Source organism: Homo sapiens, chromosome 5 (genome assembly GCF_000001405.40).
Source record: "Homo sapiens chromosome 5, GRCh38.p14 Primary Assembly".
NCBI classification, from domain to species: domain Eukaryota; kingdom Metazoa; phylum Chordata; class Mammalia; order Primates; family Hominidae; genus Homo; species Homo sapiens.
In genome coordinates this window covers 121,667,905-121,679,161 of record NC_000005.10, presented here as the reverse complement: position 1 = coordinate 121,679,161, position 11,257 = coordinate 121,667,905, and the positions used below count along the sequence as shown (strand labels likewise).

Here is an 11,257-nt window from a genome sequence, read left to right as displayed (position 1 = left end):
GAATGCTTCTGAAATTGAGGAAGTAATTAATAGCCTAGCAACCAAAAAAAGCCATGGATCAGACGGATTCACAGCTGAATTCTACCAGAGGTATAAAGAGGACCTGTTACCATTCCCTCTGAAATTATTCCAAACAACAAAAAAAGAGGGGATCCTCCCTAACTCATTTTATGAGGCCAGCATCATCCTGATACCAAAACCTGGCAGAGACACAACAACAACAAAAAAGAAAATTCAGGCCAATATCCCTGATTAACATCGATGTGAAAATCCTCAATTAAATACTGACAAACCAAATCCAGCCACCACGATCAAGTCAGCTTCGTCCTTAGGATGCAAGGCTGGTTCAACATACACAAGTCAGTAAATGTAATCCATCACATAAACAGAACCAATGACAAAAACCTCATGATTATCTCAATAGATGCAGAAAAAGCCTTCAATAAAATTCAAAACCTCTTCATGCTAAAAACTCTGAATAAACTAGGTATTGATGGAATGTATCTCAAAATAGTAAAAGCTATTTATGACAAACTCACAGCCAATATCATACTGAAGGAACAAAGGTGTTTTTATGGTAGACCTTGCTTCCTTATCTGTGCTTGCTGCTTGATTTTTCAGGCTGCTCTTTGTTGGAAAGAATTCTACCAAGGATCTGCCCTAACTGCCTGCATAGCTGCCTTCCTTTCTCCTCTCTTTTGGTGTGGGATTTTGCTTTCGTATGTACTTCTGAGATCATACAGTATTTGTTTTTCTGTGTTTGCCTTATTTTACTTAGTATTATGTCCTCAAGACACATCCATATTGTTACAAATAGAAGAATTTCATTCTTTTTTTATATACTTTAAGTTCTAGGGTACATGTGCACAATGTGCAGGTTTGTTAATATGTATACATGTGCCATGTTGGTGTGCTGCACCTGTTAACTCATCATTTACATTAGGTATATCACCTAATGCTATCCCTCCCCCCTCCCTCCACCCTATGACAGGCCCGAGTGTGTGATGTTCCCCACCCTGTGTCCAAGTGTCCTTATTGTTTAATTCCCACCTATGAGTGAGAACATGTGGTGTTTGGTTTTCTGTCCTTGCGATAGTTTGCTCAGAATGATGGTTTCTAGCTTCATCCATGTCCCTATAAAGGACATGAACTCATCATTTTTTATGGCTGCATAGTATTCCATGGTGCATATGTGCCACATTTTCTTAATGCAGTTTGTCATTGATGGACATTCGGGTTGGTTCCAAGTCTTTGCTATTGTGAATAGTGCTGCAATAAACATACGTGTGCATGTGTCTTTATAGCAGCATGATTTATAATCCTTTGGGTATATGCCCAGTAATGGGATGGCTGGGTCAAATGGTATTTCTAATTCTAGATCCTTGAGGAATTGCCACACTGTCATCCACAATGGTTGAACTAGTTTACAGTCCCACCGACAGTGTAAAAGTTTTTCTATTTCTCCACATCCTCTCCAGCACCTGCTGTTTCCTGGCTTTTTAATGATCACCATTCATAATATTTGGTGTGTGTGTGTGTGTGTGTGTGTGTGTGTGTGTGTGTGCATGTGTGTTTATATCCATTCATCTGTCAATGAACATTCAGGTTGTTTTCATAACTTGGCTATTGTGAATAATATTGCAATGAACATGGGGGTGGAGATATCTCTTTGAAATGAAGATTTTATTTCCTTTGTATATATACCCAGAGGAGGGATTGCTGGATCATATGTTATTTCTATTTTTTACATTTGAGGAAATCTTCAGGCTATTTTCCATAATGGCTATACGAATTTACATTTCCATCAACAGTGTACAAATTTTTCTTTCCTCCACATCATTACCAGCACTTCTCTTTGTCTTTTTGCTAATAGTGATTCTACAGTTACATAAGATGAGTGAGTTATGTAGCTCTAATATGCAGGATGGTGACTATAGTTAACAATATTGTGTTGTGTACTTACAATTTTCTGAGAGGATAAACCTTAAGTGTTGTTAGCACATAGAAAAAGAGAGAAGAAAAGAAAATCGTATCTGAGTTGAGAGATACGTTAATCAGCTTGATTATGGTGATCATTTCACAATGTATATATTATATATCAAAACATCAAGTTGTATGCCTTAAACATATAGAGTTTGTATTTGTAAAAAAAAAAACTGGTAATTGAACATCAGATGTAAATTTCCCCAAGCCTTACATCTTTTTAATAAACTTGATGAAGACATTCTAAGTACAATGGAAGTCTCTGTGTTAAGTGTAATGTAATGTAAATTCTTGACCAGATGATTTTACAAAGGTAATATTCATTTTTCAAAATTAAACAACTGACATACTAAATGCCCCCATAAATGGCTTACAATTTTAATAAAGAGCAGAATTCAACTTAGGGAATTCAGCAGGGATATACAGCTGGGTAATAAACACTTCCTAAGATCATTGTTATTAAGTTATACCTACACTTATTTTATCCTTTTAAAAATTATTATAGCTGTCATTTGGAGACTCTATGCCAGAGACAGGGTAACAAATTCATATGCATTATTTAAATTGTCCTAATAATTATTCTCTGGAGCAGCTTTTAATATCTCCATTTTACTGATGAGAAAACATAGACACAATGAGCGTTCAGTTCAAGAGCTTGCCAAAGGTCATAGTATCTATTTAAGCAGAGATCTGAGGCCACTTCTGTCTGACTCCATAGCCTGTGCAATGAACAGTTGTGTTGTGTATTGCCTCCCAAATACCAAATAACAGGTGAATGAAGAATGCACAACTCTCTATAGGATTGAACCTGCCCAGCTGCCATTTGGTTTCTTCAGTTCTGTCACATTCCAGACAAGTTTTCTGGTGACTCTGTGGGCTGGGCAATAGTGGGCAGGGTGAGAAGAAAGAAGATGCCATGGTGGAAAAGCAGATTTAGGAGCAGAGAACCAAATGGTGATGTCTTTCTCCTTTTTAGCCTCTGTGGCAGCAACTACTGAACCTTAGTATTAGCCCCAGCAGCATATGAGAACAGGAGGCCGTGTGTGGTTGGTTCCACCTCCCGGTGTCACAAGAGAGACTCAGTGTGAGGGACTATTTATTTTTGAGAGGTGAGATCACAAGACACAGACTTGAGACCAGCTTTTTGATTTATATTGCAAGTAAGACCAATTTTTCCTTGCTGCAAATAAGAGAAAAGTCACTTTTTATTAAATAGGGCACAGAGCAAATCTTAAATAGTTAATGTTAGTAACATCCTAGGAAACCTTTGCAAATGCCATCTCTTAGCTTGTTCTCCAAATGTAAAGGTTAGAAATCATTTCAGGAAGCATGGTCACATGTTTTAAATAACTTCTCCTTTCATTTAAGATGTTATAAATTTATATACATAATTCACTGTTTTTCATTAAGGAATAATGCCAAGAGAAGAAAACGGGTTAAAAAAGTGATCTAATACTGGAGAGGAAGCAAGAAACCAGGCCTGGACATCTTTCTAGACATAGAGTGGGCCCTTTCTAGACAGAATATTCCATGTTTTTTGGGTAGTTTGCTTTGGGGCAGAATATAGGTTACCTGGTCTTACATGATTCAATACTGTAACTATTTAGCCACAAGGGGCTGTTTGGATTAAAATTAAAAGCAGCTCGAAATTTAATCCTTAGTCATGCTAGAAATCAGAAACCAGAAAACAGATTAAAAAAACAGTAATGAGTAGGAGGGAGTAGTCTATATCAAAGAATGTTGCTTAATTAGCCCTGCCTTTTGTATTTAGATTGTGTCAGATATCTTTGATGTAAACTTCCTTCACATTCATTTATTTCCAACTATTTCTTTCTTTTTTTATTATTTTTTTAATTATTATTCTTCTTCAAGTTTTAGGGTACATGTGAACAATGTGCAGGTTAGTTACATATGTATACATGTGCCATGCTGGTGTGCTGCACCCATTAACTCGTCATTTAGCATTAGGTATATCTCCTAAAGCTATCCCTTCCCCCTCCCCCAACCCCACAACAGTCCCCAGAGTGTGATGTTCCCCTTCCTGTGTCCATGTGTTCTCATTGTTCAATTCCCACCTATAAGTGAGAATATGCAGTGTTTGGTTTTTTGTTCTTGCGATAGTTTACTGAGAATGATGATTTCCAATTTCATCCATGTCCCTACAAAGGACATGGACTCATCATTTTTTATGGCTGCATAGTATTCCATGGTGTATATGTGCCACATTTTCTTAATGCAGTATATCATTGTTGGACATTTGGGTTGATTCCAAGTCTTTGCTATTGTGAATAGTGCAGCAATAAACATATGTGTGCATGTGTCTTTATAGCAGCATGATTTATAGTCCTTTGGGTATATACCCAGTAATGGGATTGCTGGGTCAAATGGTATTTCTAGTTCTAGATCCCTGAGGAATCGCCACACTGACTTCCACAATGGTTGAACTAGTTTACAGTCCCACCAACAGTGTAAAAGTGTTTCTATTTCTCCACATGCTCTCTAGCACCTGTTGTTTCCTGACTTTTTAATGATCACCATTCTAACTGGTGTGAGATGGTATCTCATTGTGGTTTTGATTTGCATTTCTCTGATGGCCAGTGATGGTGAGCATTTTTTCATGTGTTTTTTGGCTGCATAAATGTCTTCTTTTGAGAAGTGTCTGTTCATGTCCTTTGCCCACTTTTTGATGGGATTGTTTGTTTTTTTCTTGTAAATTTGTCTAAGTTCATTGTAGATTCTGGATATTAGCCCTTTGTCAGATGAGTAGGTTGCGAAAATTTTCTCCTATTTTGTAGGTTGCCTGTTCACTCTGATGGTAGTTTCTTTTGCTGTGCAGAAGCTCTTTAGTTTAATTAGATCCCATTTGTCGATTTTGGCTTTTGTTGAAATTGCTTTTGGTGTTTTAGACATGAAATCCTTGCCCATGCCTATGTCCTGAATGGTAATGCCTAGGTTTTCTTCTAGGGTTTTTATGGTTTCAGGTCTAACATTTAAGTCTTTAATCCATCTTGAGTTAATTTTTGTATAAGGTGTAAGGAAGGGATCCAGTTTCAGCTTTCTACATATGGCTAGCCAATTTTCCCAGCACCATTTATTAAATAGGGAATCCTTTCCCCATTGCTTGTTTTTCTCAGGTTTGTCAAAGATCAGATAGTTGTAGATATGCAGCGTTATTTCTGAGGGTTCTGTTCTGTTCCATTGATCTATATCTCTGTTTTGGTACCAGTACCATGCTGTTTTGGTTACTGTAGCCTTGTAGTATAATTTGAAGTCAGGTAGCATGATGCCTCCAGCTTTGTTCTTTTGGCTAAGGATTGACTTGGCGATGCGGGCTCTTTTTTGGTTCCATATGAACTTTAAAGTAGTTTTTTCCAATTCTGTGAAGAAAGTCATTGGTAGCTTGATGGGGATGGCATTGAATCTATAAATTACCTTGGGCAGTATGGCCATTTTCACGATATTGATTCTTCCTACTCATGAGCATGGAATGTTCTTCCATTTGTTTGTGTTCCTCTTTTATTTTGTTGAGCAGTGGTTTGTAGTTCTCCTTGAAGAGGTCCTTCACATCCCTTGTAAGTTGGATTCCTAGGTATTTTATTCTCTTTGAAGCAATTGTGAATGGGAGTTCACTCATGATTTGGCTCTCTGTTTGTCTGTTATTGGTGTATAAGAATGCTTGTGATTTTTGTACATTGATTTTGTATCCTGAGACTTTGCTGAAGTTGCTTATCAGCTTAAGGAGATTTGGGGCTGAGACAATGGGGTTTTCTAGGTATACAATCATGTCATCTGCAAACAGGGACAATTTGACTTCCTCTTTTCCTAATTGAATACCCTTTATTTCCTTCTCCTGCCTCATTGCGCTGGCCAGAACTTCCAACACTATGTTGAATAGGAGTGGTGAGAGAGGGCATCCCTGTCTTGTGGCAGTTTTCAAAGGGAATGCTTCCAGTTTTTGCCCATTCAGTATGATATTGGCTGTGGGTTTGTCATAGATAGCTCTTATTATTTTGAGATACGTCCCATCAATACCTAATTTATTGAGAGTTTTTAGCATGAAGGTTGTTGAATTTTGTCAAAGGCCTTTTCTGCCACTATTGAGATAATCATGTGGTTTTTGTCTTTGGTTCTCTTTATATGCTGGATTACATTTATTGATTTGCGTATATTGAACCAGCCTTGCATCCCAGGGATGAAGCCCACTTGATCATGGTGGATAAGCTTTTTGACGTGCTGCTGGATTCGTTTTGCCAGTATTTTATTGAGGATTTTTGCATCAATGTTCATCAAGGATATTGGTCTAAAATTCTCTTTTTTGGTTGTGTCTCTGTCAGGCTTTCGTATCAGGATGATACTGGCCTCATAAAATGAGTGAGGGAGGGTCCCCTCTTTTTCTATTGATTGGAATAGTTTCAGAAGGAATGGTACCAGCTCCTCCTTGTACCTCTGGAAGAATTCGGCTGTGAATCCATCTGATCCTGGACTCTTTTTGGTTGGTAAGCTATTGATTTTTGCCACAATTTCAGAGCCTGTTATTGGTCTATTCAGAGATTCAACTTCTTCCTGGTTTAGTCTTGGGAGGATGTATGTGTCGAGGAATTTATCCATTTCTTCTAGATTTTCTAGTTTATTTGCATAGAGGTGTTTGTAGTATTCTCTGATGGTAGTTTGTATTTCTGTGGGATCGGTGGTGATATCCCCTTCATTACTATTTCTTTAAAAATTAAAATCTGCCTCTATCTGTATTTTTTTCTTTTCCTTTAAGCTAAGACAAAACACTTTGGAATGGTGCAAGTACTATGAACATCTGTTCATTCATCTGTCCATCCATCTACCCAGCTATCATCTATGTTTCTAGAAATTTCTTTAGCTTCATAAATGTGTGAAAAAGTAAATAATCGTAATGAACTATATTCTATTCACTATCTAAATATTTTGGATTGAAATAAGTACCCTCTTATAGGATATGTGTCTCTGTAAGCATTATCAAATGATCTATGAAGTTAAATATATAAATAATATATTTAGTATGAATATATATAAACATATTTGTACATTTCTTAATAAAAGATCTTTATTACACAAATTTATTAAGTGTTATATACACATACACCCATATGAAAGAAGTGAATAATGCAAAATTATTTGATTTTTTAAAAATGATATTATTAATAGACAGCTAGATTCTAGATCCTTTCAATAGATCCAAGAATGAAGAATTGTTGGTTGTAATGTAAACTCAAAACTTAAGTTTCAACTTCTACTTAAAGTTGGTATTTGGTTGGTGGGAACCACACAGTTTCAACATGCCTATTTGGAATTGTTATTTTTGTTCAGGGCCCATGTACTCTGGACCCTGGCCACTGCATGATGTTTGTTTGCAAAGATTGCAAGGTGTTCAGATTTTGTAAATAGAAATGCCATAAAAACTTTAAAAAGAAATACATCCTTGCAATTTCAGGTGGACCAAAGCATTCCAGAAAGCAGCTGGTAAAGAGCTTAGAGTGAATTATTCATTTGATCTTTGAAAAACGTAGACACGAACCTATGAAATACCAGCAAGAGCTATGGAATAAAACTACTGATGCAATGAAGAGAGTTGAAGAGATCAAACAGAAACGTCAAGCTAAATTTATAATGAACAGATTGAAGAAAAATAAGGAGCTACAGAAAGTTCAGGAGATCAAAAAAAGTCAAGCAAAACATCCATCTTATCCGAGCCCCTCTTGTAGGCAAAGGAAAGCAGCTGTAAGAGAAAATGGTACAGCAATTACAACAGGATGTGGACATGGAAGACGTTTCTTAAAAACCTCACATTTCTACAAGTACATTTGAAAATATCCTTTGGAGACTTAGAACTTCTAAATTATTCACTTATTTTTTTACAGTGGGTCACTTAAAAGGTGATTAAAAACGTTTCTCCTACATTGCTGTCTGTAAAACATCAGATATTATGAATGTTAGCTTTCTTCTCAGTGCGATACTTCACTGATAGATGTACTTGTGTAAATCATGAAAATTCTGTTTGTAAATTCAGAAATGAATTGTGGACATAAAATGGTCACACTATTTGGATAATGGCACCAGGAGGCATTTATGTAATAACTAATGAAAAAAATTCATGACTAGTGATATATAAAATGAAATATCCTTTGCAGTAAAATATTCCCTTTATTAGTGTTATAGAAGGGGAATACAATAAGGAACTAAGTATTTGTGAGACAGGTATCCTCAAATAATATCTTTTATTTTGATTTCAGTGTTTCCTGTTTTAGTTTATTAGCATCTTAGAAGAAAATAATAGCCTTGTTTGATGAAGCCTAATTATGCTGGACTATTTTGACCTGGTTTAATATTTCTGATAGGTAACTGCGGATGTTGGAGATGAGAGATGAATAATCTTTGCCTCAAATGGCACTAAACTCTATAATCTCTGCTTTGAAGAATACTCAGTTCTGACTTGCAATTCCTGGTAGAAAAATCTTCGTTTTTCTAGCTTAGCAATGATCTAGAAGTAGAGGAATTCCAGTGCTTTTTAAAATTCATTGTTCTGGCTTGTAGGGTTCTCACTCATAGGTGGGAATTGAACAATGAGATCACATGGACACAGGAAGGGGAATATCACACTCTGGGGACTGTGGTGGGGTCGGGGGAGGGGGGAGGGATAGCAATGGGAGATATACCTAATGCTAGATGACACGTTAGTGGGTGCAGCGCACCAGCATGGCACATGTATACATATGTAACTAACCTGCACAATGTGCACATGTACCCTAAAACTTAGAGTATAATAAAAAAAAAAATTCAAAAAAAATAAAAAATAAAAAAAAATAAAGTAAAATTCATTGTGTGGTTTTCTTCTCTAAAAAAGCTCCTAGCTGTTTTTGGAAAATAGAATTTATGGGTAGAACACTGTTTAATATTTGCATATAAATTAAAACTATTTTTAAAGTAGAAAACAAAAACAAGAAAAAAAACCCTGAAATTTCCCAAAGTGTGATAATTTGTCTTAGTTTTTTTACTCACTTAGATTCTGTGCCACTCTGTGTCTATTAATGTGATCAGTAGATGGTAAAATACCACCCTTCCTGAGATCCCTTCAAGTTCTTTCATTGTATTGCATATCTTTTAAAATAAACTATTACTAAATTCAATCTACTTCACCGCACACTGAGACTAATGAATGTTTACATTAATATTTGACTTTATTGACAGAAATAATATAAAATGTGTTAGGTATTTGAATGATAGATTCTTTAAACTGTAGGTTGAAATTATAAGACCAATTTGTCTATTAGTTTTGGCCAATTAATGATCAAATTGTTATTAATATCTACTTTCAATAATATTTCAATGCTTCATTATGATTATTTCTGTAGCAATTGTACATTTGTTTGGATTCCTTCCTATTTTATTTTTTTCCCTATTTAATTAAAATAATTTGGGGGGGTACATAGTAGGTATATATATTTATGGGGTGCATGAAATGTTTTGATACAGTGTGTAATGTGAAATGAGAACATCATGAAGAATGGGGTATCCATCCCCTTAAGCATTTATTTGTTGAGCTGCGAACAATTCAATTATATTCTTTAAATTATTTGAAAATGTACAGTTGTTATTGACTATAGCCACCCTGTTTTGTACTTTTTTGAGTGTCTTTTCACTGACCTTGAAAGAATGCAGACATCTTAGTTCAGTCTAAATTTAGACGAATATTCAGAAAAAAAAGTGGTACCGACTTTTGAACTTTGCAATTTCCAGATATTGTAAAATTAAGTTGTGACTATGAAAGAATTATAATTTCTTTAAAGTAAATTGAATGTGATATCAATGAAGTAAAGTTTACAGATTTTAAATAATACTTCACATTTATAATTGCTACTTAATTGTTTTAGGACCATGAAAAATTTATTATTTGAGATTGGGAATCTTTCTGAATTGGTGTCAGCCCAAAGATTATCTGTAAGATGACAGGAGGCAAAGAATATGCTGTTTCTTGACCAAAGAAATATAGTATTGAAACTGTTCCTGTACACTTTATAAAATTAATCAGTGAAGAACGGAAAGGGAGAAGCAAAAATAAACCAAGCTTGCAGCACATTCATCATTAACCGTAAGGTCGACTTGCTCTCTGGTCTGCTTTGTCAGAGCTGTCTGTTGCCTGTTGTCCTAGAATCACATAGACATTAGATTACAGTTCCCTTAACTGTTCTCTAATAAAAACTTGAACACTATGAAATGTTTTCCCTTTGAGATATTCTTTCAGCTCCTGCATACTGACATCAGCTAGTCTGACACACCCCACTAACACCAGGTGATCTGAAGGACCCCCAAGGAGCTGACTCACCAAATAATGTGGTTTCCACATCCTGATGATTTTATTCCCCTTGCCCTGACCAATAGATGACTCAAATTTTCCATCCCCTGGCCCTCCACGATCCCCTTAAAAACTCCACTTCAGGACTCCTGAGGGAGATGGATTTGAGGGTCCCCTTGCATCTCCTATCTCAGTATTCTGTAATCATTAAACTCTCTCTGCTGCAAACCATGCCATCTCAGTGTATTGATATGTTACTGTACAGCGGGAATACAAACGTATTGGTGGTATAATAGTATTAAAAATAGTTAATGATTCTTTTCACTTATTAGTCTTTGTTGGATGTCAAGACTAATATTGCTAAGCATGTGAATTTTCTTAGAAAAGCTTTTATTCTTTTTTTTTTTTAATTTTTTATTTTTTATTTTTTATTTTTTTTATTTATTTTTTTTTAATTTTTTTTTTATTATACTTTAAGTTTTAGGGTACATGTGCACATTGTGCAGGTTAGTTACATATGTATACATGTGCCATGCTGGTGCGCTGCACCCACCAACGTGTCATCTATCAGGTATATCTCCCACTGCTATCCCTCCCCCCTCCCCCGACCCCACCACCATCCCCAGAGTGTGATATTCCCCTTCCTGTGTCCTTGTGATCTCATTGTTCAATTCCCACCTATGAGTGAGAATATGCGGTGTTTGGTTTTTTGTTCTTGCGATAGTTTACTGAGAATGATGGTTTCCAATTTCATCCACGTCCCTACAAAGGACATGAACTCATCATTTTTTATGGCTGCATAGTATTCCATGGTGTATATGTGCCACATTTTCTTAACTTAATAGACATTTACTAGCAATTTTGTTTAGACTTTCAATCTTCCATTTTGTCTTTTAGATAAACTTACACCCTGTAGACTCACAGGGCTAGAGGAGACCCACAGAAGCTATGCTT

The 11,257-nt window shown here is 35.9% G+C and overlaps 1 pseudogene; it reads left to right on the top strand.

The window, feature by feature from the left end:
* On the top strand, positions 7,240 to 7,984 carry RSL24D1P10 (ribosomal L24 domain containing 1 pseudogene 10; annotated as a pseudogene).
* The last annotated feature ends 3,273 nt before the right edge of the window (positions 7,985 to 11,257 follow it).